The sequence below is a fragment of the Homo sapiens genome, chromosome 7 (genome assembly GCF_000001405.40).
Source record: "Homo sapiens chromosome 7, GRCh38.p14 Primary Assembly".
Lineage (NCBI taxonomy): Eukaryota > Metazoa > Chordata > Mammalia > Primates > Hominidae > Homo > Homo sapiens.
The window spans coordinates 40,701,948-40,721,129 of record NC_000007.14 but is presented as its reverse complement, the minus strand read 5'-3'; the positions used below and the strand labels follow the sequence as shown (position 1 = coordinate 40,721,129).

The following is a 19,182-nucleotide window of genomic DNA, read 5'->3' as shown; positions in this document are numbered from 1 at the left end:
AAGTGAAGAGAGCTGCTACAGACTGGCTCCAGAACCTGCTTACTTAAGGCTTTTGCATGAACAGGTCACTGGAGTGGGCACATCAAAAGTTCCAATTACCATGACCAGACTCTGTTTCCTCAATGTTTGAGTATTTCAAAAAATTAACCTTATGTGCTTTTGGAAGATAAGTTTCATAAAACCAGGAAAAATAACCTGACTCTTACAAATCCAGGTAGAACCTAGAAATATAAAGAAAAAATACAGCTCAGTGTTTTAAAATCTTCCATGTAACATGCTGTAAAGCTTTCTTCATGTTGTCAAAACACCGTGCATCTTTTAGTCTCATTCAAAGATGATACGTAAGGGATGCATTTTATTACAAAATATATACATTCAAGGAGCAAAAACATGACACAGAGTGGCATCTGGCCATCTAAAGGCTATTATTTTACTTATTTCTAAGAGACAGAACACTGTTATTAGTAAACTTCATATTTAACACATTACACTAATCTTATTCTTAAAAACTTCTTGTTTCAGCTGGAAAGAGTCTGACTAATACTGTAGTCATTCTTTCTCATACATGTCCACTGAAGGGCCCCAAATAGTAGAGAGGAGTGAACAGAGATTCCATATACATTTTGGGGAAGAGTCTACAGAGGCCTCACCATGAATAAAATGTCTTTGTATTCTCATGCTTCATTCTAAAACTGTTCAAATTTTGCATTTGATATACAGCATCTCCATTCTTCTCTGGATTAAAATGTTTAAAATTGTTCCATTATGTAAAAGTAATCCAAGATGCGGCATTTTTATGCCATATCTTTGTGAACCCCTCCATGTCCCCTTGTACCTCTTAACATTTACGTGCCTTTTGACAAATACAGATCTAACACAAATTCCTTGGTTAATAGATAAGAATACTCAGGACCAAGGAGTTTGTGACTTAACCAAGGTCATGTGACTCTAAAATCACATGAGGTTAAGTGACTTACCCAAGGTCTGGCAGTGGGGGGACTAGAATCTAGGTTTATGACTTGTACCAGAATTGCATGTGCTCCCAGCCTGGTGTGCTGCCTCACGCCTGTAATCCCAGCACTTTGGGAGGCCGAGGCAGGTGGATCACTTGAGGTTAGGAGATCGAGACCAGCCTGGCCAACATGATCTCTACTAAAAATACAAAAATTAGCCGGGCGTAGTGGCAGACACCTGTAATCCCAGCTACTCAGGAGGCTGAGGCAGGAGAATTGCTTGAACCCAGGAAGTGGAGGTTGCAGTGAACCGAGATCGTGCCACTGCATGCCAGCCTGGTGACAGTGAGACTCTGTCTCAAAAACAAAACAAAACAGAATTGTGTGTGCTCTGCCTACTAAGTGACGTCTCACCTAAGCTCTCCGCACTCCTGTCTTTTCCCTTATGCACCTTTATTTCAGCAGCTTCATTGCTTCTCACCTCATCTCGCCCAACAGATTCTCATCTTCACCCCAGTTCTCCCTCTGTGTGGAACCACTTCTCAACCTCATTCTGCTTTCCATTTTTCTGTTGTGGGCTTTTGCCTGGTTTTCAGTTCTGAAAATCTTTTTCCTGGTTTTCAGTTTTGCTCTTCCTAAGTTGGTGGCTTGCAGAAGTCCCACAGGTTTTAAGGTCCCCTGGCATGTGGCTCTCCGGGGCTGGCTCCAGCTAGGTATAATGCCAAAGAATCCAATGTGGGAACAACAAGCTCAACTGAAAGTCCCTGAGGGAGACCATGGTCAGGGGTGGAAAGCTGATGTGATGCATACACCAGCAGCTAGGAAAGCAGGAGATTTAAAGAATAATCACAATACATTAGAGATGATTAGAGCCTGGAACAGAATGTGAAAAAGATTAGGATACAGAGGACTGAGGAACAGGGAAAGGAAAAGAATGGCCAGACAGTTTCAGAAAGAACAGCATGTGCAAAGGCCTATATACCAGAAAGCAGGACACAGTCAATGCCCTGAAGGATCAAAGGGGTTTCATAGAAAAGATGAGCCCAGGGAGAATGGCAGGTGCCAGATCACATATGGCTCCATAAGCTATGTCGGGGCATCGGGCTTTATCTTAAGGACAATGAAGAGATATGAAAAAGTTTAGACATAGAATAACATGATGAAATTTGTATTTTAGGAATGTTACATAAGAAATTTCCAAATTGGCCTTAATTCCTTAGGGAACCATATTCAGTTACCTTTTTTAAGTGGTCTACTTTCATACTGGCTTTTAAATTTTTATATCATATAGTCTGTGGGAAAAGATTATAAATAAATATTTGTATAGTATCTGATATATAAGAATTTGTTCCCAGAGTTTGTGGCAATAGTGTGGACACTGGCTCAGACACAAGTATGTGGAATCCATTTCAATAAGTATTATTTAAAATATTAAAAGTGCTTTTTCTGAAAAAAAGTCAATGCAAAATCATTTTTAAATGTTTACATATACACCTAAATCTCCAAACTGCTGGTAGTAATATTAAATGGAAGGTCAAAAGCTATTTTGCTCCCTTTTTATTGGACTATTATTAAACAGTCAGAAAGCCTAGCAGTTCATTTATCAGACAAAAAAAATGTATAAATGTTTGACAAATAAGCCATAGCCAAAATGTTATGACTTTATTTGAATTACATTATATAGACAAAGCATGCCAATCCATCAGCCTCAAGTTACTGCCCTGTTACCTATGGAAACAGTAAGATATTTTCCTCGTTACTTAATAATACCAAATCTCAAATAAGTATCACAACATGAAAAACAGATGTTAAAATGTGACACTCAGGGTCAGCTTACACTGCATACTTGTTCATTTTTAAGTCCCGGGTTTCTTCTCAAACATTGTTTCTGAAATTTTTCACAAGATTTTGTTGGATTTGGTTGCAGAGGTTAGAGTCTTAATACACATATGAGACACAAATAGAAAACTGATTTGTTATTAATCAACACAGCAATAAAATGGGAGATGCTAGTTTTTATATCAGAATGCTTATTGCTTTGCATGAAATATGATTTGATACAAATGACCAAAATCAAGAGCACAGTTTCTATTTTTATTCCAAAAGCACTTTCATTTGTATTCTCCCTTTACTGTGTCAATCTTATCAGTTTATTAAAGACATATCTTTCATTTAAAATAGAAAATAACTTTTCATTATTGTGCTATTATAGATAATTTTTAAAAACTAAAATATGTGAATAAAGAAGAAGAGGAGAATATACTTCTCATTATGTACCATTTTCAGTAACTACCTCTAATATAAATTTAGTTCCAAATATTTTTTTCTATGTATTTATATCTATATATCTATAACTATGTCTATGGATATTTTCTTAGAAAAAATCCTGGAACCAAACGATGCAGTGAAGATCTTCCCATGCCAATTACTATTCATCTACAGCGTTATTTGTAAATATCAAGGGCAGTGCCCTGACATAGATATGCTATAATTTATTCAACTAATCACTGATTTCTGTGCGTTTAAATTGTTCCCAATATTTCAGTTTTATAAATATTGAGACAGCCAAATGCCTACACAGATAAAAAGGGGTCCCCAGAGAATCTCCAACCTTCCCCACAAGTGTTTACATCAGAAGCTTTTGTGCAAATGAGGGAACCTGCCCAGGGCTTGTCTGGGCATGCCCACAGTGGACTGGAGCCCGACATGTGCCCTGGGGGAAATGGGTGGGGCCACGGGGAGTTCACGCCTTGTGCACGGGAGGAGCTTGCTGTCTTCAGCTCCTGTGGTGACCTGGGATTCAATCTGTGAGTCAGAAAAGCTGCTAGCAGGGCTCTCTCTTGCTTTGGTTCGTTTTCCTTTTTCCCCTTCGCCCAATAAATTCCATTTTCCTCACCCTTCTATGTGTCCGCGAGCCTAATCTTTCCTGGTCGTGTGACAAGAGCCTGCTTTTAGCTGAACTAAGGAGAAAGTTCTGCAACAATATTATCGCAGTGAACAAATATGTAGCTTAATCTTTCTATGTATTCTTGATTATTTCCTCAGCATACATTCAAGAAATAAATTTTGTGTCAAAAGGGTGCATATTTTAAACTTTCTGGTATATAACTGCTAAAATATTGTATAAAATTACATTCCCAGTAGAGGTGAGCAGATGACATTTTTCTATCATATTGGTTTTTTTTTCTAGTTTTCTACTATACTTTGTTGATCCCAAAAGGCACATTTTTCTTTCGCATTTTAACATCTTTAAAATCTAGTTATATATTACAATTCATGGTATATCACAGTTAGACTAGTGGCATTTTTTCTTTCTCATTGATACTTATAATGTTGCATCATTCAATCCATATCTGAAATCTATAAAATATATTATCTGCGTTTATATACTGTGGTTGTGTTTAGTAGATACAGAGAAGTTTTAGTATTTACATAGTGAGCTGCTTTCTTCATTGGCTTCATGTCCATGATTTCTCTGATTTTCTGTGATAAACGCTTACCTTAGTTTTCTATTATTATATATTAAATTGAAATATTTAATAAAAGTAATCTCAAAAATTACTCTTTTCACAAATGATTAGCCAATTACCCTAGTGATATTTATTGAATAGTTCTTTTGTGCTCACATATTTAAAGCTTATTCTATTTAAATATTACTAATCCCTTTAAACACAACAAGCATTTAATAGATAACCATTGATTCATTAATTAAATTTGTTAAACAGAAGTAGACTTTGGAATGAGTTAAAGTTTTGAAGTAACTGTTTGGACCTTCTGCAGAGATGACAGTTGTACAGGTTAAACATCAATCAGCCATTTGGGCTCCCTGACTTATTACTGCTCAGTCACATTATATGTAATAGGATCCAGCAAATTGAAACCTAGTATTTCTTCACTGCTGATGACCACTCTTCTGACCTGATGGAATCAGGGAGGAAGGAGGATTGTGCAGGGCAGGAAAACCTCCCTGCTTCAGTATTCAACAGAATTCCACAGGAATTTACTGGCAGCTCACCAGGGTCAAGCAATATGTTAAAGTCAGGAACATGTTCCCCACCCAGCTCATCAATTGAGTTCACAAGTTCCTCTTATAATGCCCAAATCCAGCAATACACTCACCTACCACTTAATAAGCGGCTTGTCTGTGCTTAGCACTAAAGACAGGAGAGAAATAGGAAAATGTCTCTGACTTCAGAACGCCAGCTAGTGAGGAAGAAAGATAAGTCAATAACAAGCGCTACAAAATGCAATCCTTACTTTCCTGATGGAGAGGAGGGTGCAACAGGAGAACAAAGAAGAAAACTATGGTCCAAGAGGAAACAGGGGAGGGCGAAAAACCACAGGAAAGTGGTATGTGAAGAATCACTTGGCTGATACAGAGTTGGGGGTACAGGGACTGGGAACAGCTTAACAAGCATATGGCAGGAGATGTGAGGGAGGATGTCAAAAGACAAGTCTGGGAAAACAGAAAAGGAATCAGAAGATAGGAAGAGGAGGTGGAATCCGGACTCAGCAACTGATTGAATATGCAGGTAAAGACAGGGAGAAGTCTGGGATGATTCTTCCTTTTGTAGCTTTTATGTTTGGTAGATGCTCGTGCCCATCCACTGAGATAGAAAACACATGAGGGGGGGCAAAGGTAAGCTCAGTTTTAGACACATTGAGCTCTTTTGTTTGTTTGTTTTATGGAAAATGAGGGCAACTGATGGATGGAGCATGCTTTGGGTGACATTCCTTCCATCCTGTAGTGGAAGACACTGGGTTCCTGAAGGGAGGGAGATGGGATTGGATGCCAGGGAACAGGAGATGGGACTTTAAGAAGACAGCGGAGGCAGGCTAGATGTTCTTCTGCAATTGTATAGATGAGGTCACAGCAGCAAAACTTCCCATCCCACCCCGCATCAATACCTTTGCTGTGTTTGCTGCACTGACCATAACTGCTCATTCCCTGTTGTGTAACTGAAATGAATAGATCGTTCAAGAATGCCCTATCTGTACAAATTTGGTCTATTTTAAGAACAAAGGAGAGAGTTTATTTTTTTTTATGTTTCAGTGGAATTAAAAGTGTGATTTTTATAATCCAAGTCACACCCTTACAATTTTTTTTTTCCATACACAACCTTAACTCCTGGCAAGTGGAAGGCAGAGAAGCCACATTCACTCTGTGTACTGACCTGTGATTTGCCGCTGAGTTTTAGGAACATGATAGAACTTCAGTATGAATTACATATTTCTACATTTAAACAGGGTCAGAAGTGGCACTACCCAGTGTGGGAGTTTAGACTGATTAATTGCCTTCACGGAAGGAGAAAAGTATGGCTAGGAACTGTGCAAGTATTATTGTTTCATCCACATATTATTTCCATGTATTCTCTTGTACAGTTTGACTTGGCTAGCATGCAAGAAGTTTCTAGCTTTTCCAGGGTATTACAATCAGCTTTAAAAATGTCTAGAGTTAAATTTGCTTCTGAGAAAAACTATTTGTGACTTAATTGATAAAAGCCAGTGTGAACTCTATTATTGAAGACCTATGCAGTTATGTAATAATTTCCTTAAATAATGGAGAAGATCTTAAAAAAGAAAAACAAATAAAACCCACACAAGCACATGGTTTTCATTTGGGGAGTAAGGGCTGGAGAGAGGCTCTGCTCTGAGGTTAACTTCATGGCTTCAGGCAAAACTAGGAGATTTAAACAGAAACTACAGCAGAACCATAGCTCTCTTTTTAGGGACACTTAAATAAGTATATGACAAATCTCAGAGAATCTTTTGAATTTGGGTGGGGGATGAGTAGTTATGTTCCTTTTGTTTCTATTTTTTTGATTTGTTTTCTTTTTTTGTTTGTTTTTTTGAGAGAGTCTGGCTCTGTCCCCCAGGCTAGAACGCAGAGGCACAATCTCTGCTAAATGCAACCCGCCTCCTGAGTTCAAGCAATTCTCCTGCCTCAGCCTCCCAAGTAGCTGAGATTACAGGCGCTCACCAACACACCTGGCTAATTTTTGTATTTTTAGTAGAGACAGGGTTTCATCATGTTGGGCAGGCTGGTCTCAGGCTCCTAACCTCAAGTGATCCTCCTGCCTTGGCCTCCCAAAGTGCTGGGATTACAGGCATGAGCCACTGCACCCGGCCTTGTTTTGTTTTCAATGATTAATATTAGCTAATTAATGTTCTCATGGAAACTGACATAAAGTTTAAAATGTTTCTTAATTTAATAACTTCAGATGGTTTTCTACATGGGAAATGGAAGTTAGATACCAAATGATGTCCCCTAATGTGGTTAAAATGCCTCTTTTCCAAAAGGGTTAAGAGAATATGGAGAAAAGTTTATGCATGATGTGATGGGGAGCATTGGGAGAGGGACAGGAGAGGGTAGGGACTGGAGAGAAACAGAAGGAATAATCCAAACAATTTTCTACACAACTGATAATTCCCAGACAAACACTCAAATTGACCACAGCTAGATGTGTAAGTGCAGAGAAGGATTTGCACATGCTACAGAATATGAAGATGGAATTACATCCACCTCTGTTGTGGTTAAGGCCCAAAGGTTAAACACAAATTTACAGGTGGCTGTGATTCTAGAATGCCTTGGTAGGACTTGCAAGGCAGTGGTGAAAACTGGTTTTTAACCCTTAATTCAACATCTACCTAATAGGTATAAAATTATTGGAATACAGTGGCATTTCTTGTGATAACACCCTGACCATGGATGTACAAAGGAACTGCTTCTTCCTGCCCTCAAGCTTAATCAAAGAGGCCTGCAGAAGATAACCAAGAAAAGATGGGAGGGTTATCATACCTACAGGACTTAGAAGGGGCTAAGGAAATGCTCGGAGGCCAGGCACAGGAGAGGCACTGTCTGAGCCCAGAGCCCTGCAGGAGGACTTTCTGAGTGGAAGAAGAACAAAACTGCCCTTTCTGGGAGAGGGTCAGCCTGCAGCAGTCTCCACCCCAGAGAAGGTCTACACCAGACTACACAGTGCCAGTCAGGGGAGGCTTCTCCTGTCCTTGCATCTACTCTGCTGTGTCCCTTTCCTGACAGGTAACTGGGGCCAGGGGTGCAGGACAAGTGAGGAAACGGAACAGAAGCCAACCGCACCCCCTCCTCCTCCCTTCATTAAAGACCTCTGAATTGAAGTGGGCCATTGATGGAAAAAAATAGAGGCTTTCATTCTAAAGTAGTTCAGAGATTTTGCTATTCCACCATGTGAATGTAAGAAATACATTTTAGACAAGTCTTGTGACTGAAAGGGATGTGGAAGACGTTTTACTATCAAGTCACTGAAAAAGTTCTGGGATGGGCCCAAGGTCCAGAGGCAGTAAAATCTAAAGGTTTCAAAAGAATAAAATAATGGCAGCGCACTCTGAAGTCTGCTCCCTAAGTTTAACTCTATGGAGATGTGAGGCCTGCATGTGCCAAAGGGCCCCCTGTGGCCTCAGGTAAGAGACTCCATCCTCTTCTGAGGTATATTCAGAGGCTGAATGTTGAAATGTTGGATTCGACATCCCTTTCTGGAAAGATAGCAATTAACTGGTAGTTCTAAGAAATACTTTAAAAGAAACAAATATATTTCCATTTTATTTGGCCAGCATTTCAAGTAAAAGCTGCATACTCAAGACAAATTTTATATAATCCTAAACTCTTTTTCTCTACAGAGGCAATCAGTAGTTTTCCTTCCATACTGCATTATGTTCCAGGAGGTTTGCACAACATCCCATAACAAATTATGGTGAAAAATCAACTTTCATGTGAAACATATAATGTGAGATATATGCTGCTTTCCAGTTCTGCCTGATGCAACAACACAATATGCTTTATTTGGCTAGAAAATACAGCTGAATCTGTTCTTATAGAATTACTTGTGGTTAAGAGGAGGTAGGTTATATTTTTCTATCAGATCTCACCTATCAACTTCTCTGTTAGCGTTGCTCCTTTAACAAACACCATTCCTAAAAGTTACAAGATGAATGTTTAGTAATCCATACAAATAATTTGAATATTCAGACATGGATCTATCATTCATAACCCCTATTTACCAAGCAAAGAAGCTGCAGTCTACATACTATAGAAGGCAACAAAGTCAAAGTCAGTTTCAAGTGCCAGCTGTTATGGCTGGGCCGCCTTCTAAGTCAGCTAGGCTTGCGGAGCCGCAGTTTCCTCATCTTTGATGCGGACCTCACTTCCAGAGCCATGGGAAGAACTGAATGAGAGTGAGGATGTGAACACCTCTGCCACGCTGTTAAGTGCTACCTAAGCGCAGGCCAGTCATCCAGTCATCCTGTTCTGTACATGTCAAGGCATGAGCCACTCCAGGGAACTCAAAGACCCATGAGACTGGATACTGTGCTCAGAGTTTACAAACCTAAAATCTAGTTGAAGATACACAGAAACATTTTATCAATGACTTCAAATATAAACAGAATTCACAAAACAGTATAAATTCAATGAGTGACTCCAACAGTTAGTGATAAGGTTCCATAGGGAGCAGCGAACTCTGCGGGCAGCAGCGCTGAAGTTTCAAAAGATGGAGGAATGGAGGTCTATGGGGAGGACTGGATAGGAAAGAGAAATGGGTATGGCAGTTTTTAATACAGAAGTTGCAAACTAACGTCTCCATTATCAAATTTCACAACAAAATCCTGATTTCCAGCTTTTCTTTTTCTTTCTTTTTTTTTAGATAGAGTCTTGCTCTGTCACACAGGCTGGAGTACAGTGGTGGGATCTCGGCTCACTGCAACCTCTGCCTCAAGTGATTCTCCTGCTTCAGCCTCCCAAGCAGCTGGGACTACAGGTGTGCGCCACCATGCCCACCTAATTTTTGTATTTTTAGTACAGACAGGGTTTCACCATATTGGCCAGGCAGGTCTCGAATTCCTGACCTTGTGATCCACCCACCTCAGCGTCCCAAAGTGCTGGGATTACAGGCATGGGCCACCGCGCCCAGCCTCCAGCTTTTCTTTTAACACCAGGGGCTGGGTCGGAGTTGCTCTCTGAAGAAAAGTTGTCCTCTCTTGGGCAGCGCAGTGGTCACTTCTCCTGAGTTTCTCACACCCGTTGGCCTTCACTTACTGCTGTTCCCTGCCCAGCCCTGGTAGGCATTTGAGATTGCTCATCTCTGATTTAGAAGTTTCATTAACCTTGTTAAACAGTGCTCCAGACCTAAGTGTATATCAACCAACTCAGGCAACGACACTGTACTCCCAATTCCTTCCTTTACCCCAGTCCACTGGCAGCAGCTTATCCTGTAACACCTTAACGGCTGCATTTCACACTCTAAACACAGAGAACATACAGGCAAACCTTGAGTTTATTTTAGATGGCATCTTTTCAAATAAAAACTCCTCAAGGTAATTTTCTTAAATTAAGATCCCATGGGAAAAAATAAATTAACCAATAATAAAACCTCTGATGAGCCCTGGGGTTGATCTTTCAGTAAGTGGATAATTATTTGCTGGGCTCTCCACTCAAATAAAATTATCTAGTTGTAGCATCTCTTTTTTTCCTAGACTAGTTATTAATGTGATTATAAAGTTTTTCTCATTTGTTTTTCTTTAGGTATGATTTTAGAAATCTCTCTCTCTCCTGCTTGCACACACACAGACACACACATCTTTAAAACTACCCTTTTTATGAAGATCTAGAGGAGTGAGAATGAAGGAGGAGGAAGTGGATGAAAAACTCCAAAGATAAGTTCTCTGGGGTAAAACATTAACAGCCTTACCACCCTCAGTGCCCCTTACTCACCATCTATAAAACAGAGGCTGGGGTTGTATCTATATTATTTCCACAAACTGAGATGGATCACAAATAATTTGTTCCTAATACTTGTAGAATAAAAATTTACAAATGGCTTCTCAGTAAGTAAAAGCAACTTCAAGGTTGTGTCTGTAGAAATGTATCTCCTCTGTGTTGCGTTCTACAGCATTTTCTAGAATGAGAGAGAAAGAGGTGGTCCGCCGTATAGTTAACATGCAGAGAATGTTTCATAACCCAGAGATAGATGCAGTCAGTACAGTGAAGACTGGGAATTTTGAAAAGAGGAGCAATATCTAGGAATTCTTTTTTAGGAAGTTAGCTGGGTGCTGTCCCTAGTTTATGTACAGCCCTGTCCTTTCCTCAAGAAAATTTCAGTAAAGATCTATGTTGCTTCCAATGCTGTTTAGGGTAAAATTTGTGTTTCTTTTGTCTGAGAATGTCTTCAAGGCAATCTTCAGTATGCTATAACCAGTGGTTCTTGAAGTTGGTTCCTAACCCCTGACTAGCAGCAGCAGCACCTGGGAATTTATTGAAATTAATCTTTGAGCTTCACCCCAGATCTGTCAGAAATTCCGGCAGTGAAGCCCCACAATATGTATGTAGTTTAAGTCACCCTCCAAGTGATTCTGAAACTGAAGTTTGAGAACTGCGGTTATCACCTATAGTGAGTAACCACTACGGAGAAACCATCTGTAGTAGAGGCTGTTGGTGCCACCCATTCAGATCTTCCTGACCAGCCAATGCACTTGTACTCTGGCTGCTTGGAGGAATACAGCTGAGGAAACGTTTACACCTGTGTCCTTCTCCAGTTACTTCTCCATGCTAGGCAGAACAAGGAGAGATGCCTGGGAAGCCACCTACCCACAACCCTGGGTTGGCAATGACATAAGGTTCTTAAGCCTGAACTCCTTGCAGGGCAATACAGCCCTGTGAGCCTGGGGACCAGACCAAGGCTAGACTTTGCCTAAGACCATATCCTTGTAGATCCTCCTCCTTTTCTATCTTGCTCTCCTCACTCTCTTACAGGATTTTCCTAAAGACTGCTCCCTCATTAAATCCTGTGCACATGAATCCACTTTCTAGGGAAATAGGCTAAGACATGACTAATTGTTGTGTAATTACTTACGAAACTTTTCTTAGCGTGATAATGGATGGGGCTAGTTATTGTTTGGTGGGGAAGAGTTAACACATGTGGGAATACCCATAGGAGTCTTATCAAAAGGGCATCAAACAACATTGTGTGCTCTTGCACTGCTAAAATAAAGGTTGAAAACTGGTGGATCACATGATCCCTAGTGACTCTTCTAAAATTTATGTCATCATAATTCCTGACAGTGAATAAGAGATACTTATTGTACAATTTTGTGATAGGAAGTTCCAAGAGAGGCAAGTACTCATGTTTACTAACAAAATAATTCATTGAACAAATGTTTACTGCTCCTCTATGTTCTAGGCACTGGGACCTCTATGGTAAACTCTACAGGCAAAGCCTCTACCCTCAAGGAACTTCCATCTTGATGACAGAGACTGGCAATAAACAGATGAATACATGTAATCTGATATAGAGAGGTGAGAAATACTATGGACCAGAAGAAAGAAGCGGAAGGGAATAGAGCATGATAACTGGGGGTGGGGGTTGGGGAGTGCATTGAAGAGGTGATATTTGAGCAAGCAGTGACTGCAGTAAGGAAAGCTATGAGGATATCTAGAGTGCTCAGGCGGAAGCAACAGCAAGTATAAAGACCTGAGGCAGGGGTTTGCTCAGCAAGGGAGTCAGTGGCAGGAGATGAGTTCAGGATGTAGCCAGGCCCCTGATCACATAGGTGCTTGCAGGTCCCATATTCACAAGAAGAACATGATGTGATCGGAAGGCCTCCAAGGGCTCTGAGCAGGTGGTGGCATGATTGAGCTAATGTAGATAGGGCAAGAGAAGCAGGGACCACAGATAAAAGGAGAGAGCAGTAGGCTAGGTGAGAATGAAACAAACACTAACGGCTTCCAGAAAAGTTTATTGACCTATTCCTTTACTTCCTTCATCCACTAAGAGCTCTGACAGGCCCTGCAGGATGTACACACTCTACATACTCAATGCAATTCTCCTTTCCTTTTTGCTTTATCACAACCTGGAATGAAGGGCATCAAGTCTCAGACATCCAGACTGAGGTAAGTATAGGACACCATTAAAGCACAGAGTACCCAGGAAGTGTTTCAGTCCTGGTACCCAATGTTGACGTTAGTACTGAAATACTTCAATAGTACTAATATATCTCTCTGCTTCCTGTCACTTTAAATGGTGCTGTGGAGACATGGCAAGTATCCTTGAGACCACATTCTATTCCTGAAGCTGAAAGGTGAGGAATGACTTATCTCTATTTCATTTTATTCAAAGTATATAAATATTATTAAATAATACCACAAAGAAAGATTGTATATCATTTCTGCTAACAGCTAAAAATCTGTAATTCATTTCTTCTCCCAAAGCTCCTATTCATTGCTAAAATTTTATTGTATTTTCTAAATGCACAGAAAAAGATATTTCCATTATGATTTATATTACAACCAAGTTTTAACAAAAGAAGTCAATTCTTTGGTAAGAAACAAAAATCCACCAGATCTACTTAGAAACAATATTTAAGGCTTACATCCATGGAGATTCCTTTTTTAAATGAAATTCAATTTTCCCATTTGTAAGTTTCCTGATGTTGATGGTTGTGGTATATGTGCCTGTGGTCAAGTGGTTTAGGGAAAGTGGGTTATTGGAAGATTGTAGGTGCTGGTTTTAAAATTAAACCTGAATCTTTCACATGCCTTAAGGATCATATCCAAAAAACATTTGTGTTCCATAGGACCAAAGGTACTATCTCACCACTAAAATGCAAAGAGCCAGAAGTCTATTTATACATTCTCCATGATTTGTTTCCCAGATTTAGCTTTCTACAAGCACTTCCTTCAGGGAAACACACACTTTTCCTCTCTTGCAGCCCAATTTCCTGTAGGAGTGCCTCTTTAGGAAATGATAATCACAGCATCATTCTTGTGTTATATGATGACAACTTAGAAGAAAAACACGCATATACATTCATTCAAAACACCTTCCGAAACAAATGAGGATGAAGCAAAGAAAGGAGACGAAGAAAACGTTCTCTTTGCCCAAACAGTTCTGCCTTTTTAAAAAAAAAAAAAAAAAGTAGATTTTGCAGCATTTTCTTAGCTTACACTGAAAATTCAAATCTATACCCCTCATTTAAAGGCAGGTTCTTCTTTTAGTGTTAGGTGTAAATTCATGTAATCTGAGTCACTATTCGAGTTCAGTCCAAACAGTTCTACCTTGGGCAATTATAGGATATCCAGGTATCCGAGGAAGCTGCTAGGACATGCTAACACAGAGATGCTCTTGTTCCAAGAGTGAGGGTGGACAATGAGGGTGGGTAGTTCTCTACTTAGCCGAACTGTGTCATGACCACAATCTTTGTGAAGACTCTTTTAAGGAGCAGGACTGCTCATCCTGAGCAAAGTGAGAGTCTGGGAACTATGCTCAGAAGAAAAGAAAAAAGGAGGCAGCCAGATTATATAACCTAGCCTTCTAAATGCAAAGCCAGCACACAAAGCTATCTCAAAATTTTTTGTCAATGCTATGGTTTCTTCTAGATCCAGACTCAGCAAGGTCTCTAGAGATAGCTGCTCGCTGGAAGTGGTGCTGGGAACAAGGCTGGCTGTCCCCACACCAGAGCAGCCTCTAGAAAGTTGCTGAATGGATGTTACTGCCCACCAAAGAAGCCACTGCCATGAGAAACATCACCCAGAGAGGAAGATGTTTCCACTTATTATAATCAAGTCCATGCTCTAACCTCACAATGACCACATTTCCCAAATTCGAAGACTCTTATCATGCTGACTTTTCTCTTCTTTTTTTTGAGACAGAGTCTCGCTCTGTCGCTCAGGTTGGAGTGCAGTGCCACAATCTTGGCTCACTGCAACCTCTGCCTCCTGGGTTCAAACGATTCTCCTGCCTAGCCACCCGAGTAGATGGGACTACAGGTGTGCACCACCACTCCCGGCTAATTTTTGTATTTTTAGTAGAGACAGGGTTTTGCCATGTTGGCCAGGCTGGTCTCGAACTCCTGGCCTCAAGTGATCCACCTGCCTCGGCCTCCCAAAGTATTGGGATTACAGGCATGAGCCACTGCGCCCAGCCACTCCATAATGACTTTTCCAGAAGGATAAGAATCACTATCATGATTGAAGACACATACTGATATAAATGTCTTTAAATATAAATTAAAATATATGTACCATAGAATAAAGGAAATGCTGTATTATTAGAAATATTAATGATCATATAAATACTAGACAATGCTGAGCCCTTCCTAGGCCATATATTTAAAGGTATGATCTCATGTAGTCTTCATAAAAATCACATGCCTCTGAAGCAGATAGAGTTTTTCTCATTTTATAGATGATGGACACTAAGGCCAAAGAAAAATTAAGGAAATTAAGAAAAGTGAGGGAACCCGGTTTTATGGCTCTGAACTCATGCCCTTTGTACCACACCAGTCCCCTCTGAGTTTCTGAGATATGCCACCATGGAAAGGAGCCGCCAGGGTGCAGAAGATGGTGCTGTTTTCCCTGTTGTCCCAGTAAAATCCAGGGATAAATGTCAAGGAAAAAGGCAATAATTTGGCACCAGCAGCACAGTTAAGTGGTCCGAGACCTTGCTTCAAGCTCTATAGCTTCTGATGGCATAAAAATTAAATATTACTTCTGGCATGACCCAAATTTTAGGATGAAATGTAGTGGATCAGAAGGAGCAATGGCTCTGGGGTCTGAAAGATATAGGATTTGTAATAGTGTTATGCTGGGATAAAAGGGTGAAATTTCTAGTCAGTGTCAAAAATGGGATTTGTAAAACAAATGGTGCTGAGAAAATTGGAAATTAGAAAATAGAATCACTGCTTCTCAATAACACCAAAATAAATTCCAGATGAACCAAAAAATTGTGAATAAAAATCAAAGCATAAAGATCTTTGTGGTAATGGAACAGTTTTACCTCTTGATTGTGGTGTTCATTATCTAAATCTACCTGGGATGAAATGGCATGACATAATACATATACATTATACCAATGTCAATTTCTGGTTTTGATATTGCACTATAATTATGTAAGACATTACCATTGGGTACACAGGACTTCTCCACATGATTTTTGCAACTTCCTGCAAACCTATAATTATCTCAAAAATAAAAACTCAAAATAAATTTTAAATAAAAGCATAAAAGAAATAGAATGAAGTAAAAAACAGCTGAACTTGGTGTGGGCAAGGAAGAATCCTTTTTTAAAAAAGAACTGATAAACGACTATAAAAATTGAAAATTTCTGAATGTACAAAAATATAAAATTAAAAGGCAAATATTAAGATTTTTCAGCATATCTGACAAATGAGGAGTCAGAAGTCTTAATATGTCATTTACATAGTGGTTGAAAGTGTGAACAGACAGCTTGGCCAAAAACCATGACTCCACTACTTCATAGCTACACGGCTTTGAGAAAGTTTCCTCACTGAGTTTCAGCTTTACCGTCTGTGAAACGAGGATAGCAGTACCTTCTTCAATGAATTGTTCTGTGGGTAAATAAGTTAATATGATGTAACGTAAAGCCCTTAGAAGAGTATCTGGAACACAGTGTTAGTTGGGTTAGTTGTTGTCATCGTTGTTATTCTTATTATAATTCAATACAAAAACGACAAAACCTTCCCTAACATCAGGCTCTCAGGTATGTGGAAGCTGGCTGGGGAAAACTCATCCTTGGACAGATTGCCCTGTGCCAAGCTGTAACATAATGATACCCTCATGCTGGGTCAGGTCTGGCCATTGACCCTGACAGCTGATAATCCATGTTATGCTATGTGACCTCTACCCCTGTGGTCACCTGTTAGCTGGAACTCCTTGCTCTTTCCAATACCCCTACCTCCCTGACTACTCACCCCCACCTCCCTTCTAATATGGGTCTTATTGTCCACTTGGTTAGGTAATGGCGTGCTTGTAAGAGCCCCCTTGTGACAGCATCTGGTGTTGTCATCTGCATACTCCCACAGATTACTGCTGATAATCCTCACAAAATCCTTGTGGGTAGATATCCCCACTTACAGATGAAGAGAAGTGAACTCAGTAAAGTCAGTGACTTTCCCAAGATCACACAGCCAGCAAGTAATAGTTCCTATTCTCAAAGCCAATTTTTCTGAATTAAAAGCCAAGGCTGCAAGTTTCCAGAGTGATGGGAAACTCCCATATTATGGGCATCATCTAAACTAAGAGATTCACAATAAGAATCTCTAGGGCTCTAGAGGGAGCTTTTGGACACCTTGTTGTCAGGACAAGTTTTACTTTTCTCTTCTTGATTCTCGTCAGTGTTCCAGAAAGGAGGATCCACCGTACAAGTCTCCTCCGGTCAGGTCAGCTGCTCCTATAGTTAGACCACGCTAGGCATGAGCACACATTGCTTTTGTCAGACCTTTAGTGGCTTTAGAGCTCCTTCTCTTCGAATGGACTGGAGGCTCATAGAACATGGGGACCACATGTTGCTATTATTTGGTATCCACTCACAACAATTAACACAGTGGTCTGTACTTTCTAATCCTTGGCCCCCAAACTTGAAGCACTGCATGAAGAAGGCAGAGATAGCCCATGTTTCTGTTTGAGAAGGTCTTGTATATATGCCCATCTTTGACCATCTGGGATTATAAGTATAGAAACTTGAGTATCAATATCAGGAAATGTATTTGATTTATTGCTAGCTCTTAAAAATCACTATTCACTGTGAATGTGGGCAAGTGATTAAGCTTTACTGGATCTCTTTTCCCACACTGTGAAAGGAGTTTATCACTTTTCAGCAAAACTACTCTAAAAGATAGTACCTCCAATCTTCCAGTCTCCAAAGAAGTTTGAGTATGTATATATAGAGAGGTTAGAGGAGGTGACCTTCACAAAGGACTCAAGAATCACATTCTGTGGGGATGCTGTGGGTCAATTCAGAGCTTCACCTGTGCTGAGATCTCCAGGAAAAATCTGTTCAAAAGAACCATGGTCAATCGGACCCTGGCAAGGACCCCGACCACCACCTATAAAGAGGACAGGCTGTCGAGACCAGCCTGACCAACATGGAGAAACCCCATCTTTACTAAAAATACAAAATTAGCCGGGCATGGTGGCACACGCCTGTGATCCCAGCTACTCGGGAGGCTGAGGCAGGAGAATCACTTGAACCCGAGAGGCGGAGTTTGCAGTGAGCTGAGATCGCGCCCTGGCACTCCAGCCTGGGCAACAAGAGTGAGACTCTGTCTCAAAAAAAAAAAAAAAAAAAAGCTAGGCTGAAACACACACAGACACAGAAGGCAAATTTCTCCTGTTATAACAGTCCATGTAGATAGCATTTAGATGCTTTTCCTTGGAATAACAAAGGTGAGGCAGGACTGGTATAACAGTTCTGTCACATATAAAAACAGAACCCAAATATTCTTGCACGCTTTGTGGGCTGATTTGAGAGTTACGTAGTTTTGGGCTATAAAAGAATTCCATGTTTAGCTGTGGTTATAGGTGAGGGGCCCATGGGATGAGAAACTAGCCCAGGAAATGCATTTCAGTGATCTTTCATTGAGCTGGAAATCCTGCACTGACACTTGCAGGACATTAAAAGAACACCTTGTTACATAGTTCTCTCAACCCCCAAAACATGGAGCCGACTCATATTGATGGATCACTATGAAACTGAAAGTAGCTTTACAGTAGGTCGACCCCTAAAGCAGAGAAGCTTAAAGTGAAGTGGACTCAATGCTTTTAAAATGCACATAAATCTAACATACCAATACCATATGCTCAAAACATCATTGCTGAGCACACGAAGGAGGAAAAGGCAGATGGATGCCCATAGTCCAAGAAGCAGAGAAGGTAATTTGTGGCTGTTAGAGGTAATGAATAATGATTTAACTTGGTTTTCTTGACTTTGGTATTTTTTACAGAAAAAGTCACATGAAAATGTGTATTTTTCACTCTATTATTTCCCTCACCTGGAACAGTGCCAAGTTTCTTTCACATTAGGAGAAATCCTTTGACACAGTGAGAGGTTAGAAACTAGATTTTAAATTTCTTTTAAACTTGTTCTAGCAGCTGGCCTGCCCATCCAGTACAAATTGTGAGATTTGGAAGAAGTTTGATCATTGGTAACTATCTCTCTATCACCACTTAGATAATCTGAGGAAGGTCTGGCTGCCTTCAAACACCCTGCCTCAGGCAGAGTTCAGGTTTTTGGTGGCTTTGAGGGTTATTTTAGGAAGGTAATCTTTGGCGGGGCTTACAGAAAAGGCTAATGACAAAGTGAGAGTTGAATCCTGTGATGATGTAACCCAGGTGGATTGCGCAGTAATCTGTGAGTTTCTTATGCATTTCTACAGCTTTCCTTTGACATATGTGTGACAGCAA

The 19,182-nt window shown here is 40.2% G+C and overlaps 1 protein-coding gene and 1 long non-coding RNA gene across 18 annotated transcripts in view, besides 4 other annotated features; one reads left to right on the top strand and one right to left on the bottom strand.

The window, feature by feature from the left end:
* The window catches only part of SUGCT (succinyl-CoA:glutarate-CoA transferase), a 903,812-nt gene that overhangs the window by 317,687 nt on the left and 566,943 nt on the right, over positions 1-19,182 (bottom strand). The gene's annotated exons all lie outside the window — the stretch shown is intronic.
* LOC105375243 (uncharacterized) lies at positions 1,280-13,046 on the top strand. The gene is made up of 3 exons (XR_927193.3): positions 1,280-12,279; positions 12,845-12,873; positions 13,015-13,046. It is a non-coding gene; the product is annotated as an uncharacterized LOC105375243 (long non-coding RNA).
* Positions 2,964-4,163: an enhancer, noted in NCBI's record as "MED14-independent group 3 enhancer chr7:40756566-40757765 (GRCh37/hg19 assembly coordinates)". NCBI's record gives its function as "activates an origin of replication core promoter dependent on BRD2, BRD4, P300/CBP and CDK7 cofactors, and independent of MED14, by STARR-seq in HCT116 cells {active_cell/tissue: HCT116}" and the evidence as "EXISTENCE:reporter gene assay evidence [ECO:0000049][PMID:35650434]".
* Positions 3,185-3,832: an enhancer, noted in NCBI's record as "H3K27ac-H3K4me1 hESC enhancer chr7:40756897-40757544 (GRCh37/hg19 assembly coordinates)". NCBI's record gives its function as "activates a minimal SCP1, AML or CMV promoter by ChIP-STARR-seq in naive H9 embryonic stem cells {active_cell/tissue: H9 hESC(naive)}" and the evidence as "EXISTENCE:reporter gene assay evidence [ECO:0000049][PMID:30033119]".
* Positions 3,548-3,727: an enhancer, noted in NCBI's record as "active region_25893". NCBI's record gives its function as "activates an Ori minimal core promoter by ATAC-STARR-seq in GM12878 lymphoblastoid cells {active_cell/tissue: GM12878}" and the evidence as "EXISTENCE:reporter gene assay evidence [ECO:0000049][PMID:35858748]".
* Positions 8,731-9,930: an enhancer, noted in NCBI's record as "MED14-independent group 3 enhancer chr7:40750799-40751998 (GRCh37/hg19 assembly coordinates)". NCBI's record gives its function as "activates an origin of replication core promoter dependent on BRD2, BRD4, P300/CBP and CDK7 cofactors, and independent of MED14, by STARR-seq in HCT116 cells {active_cell/tissue: HCT116}" and the evidence as "EXISTENCE:reporter gene assay evidence [ECO:0000049][PMID:35650434]".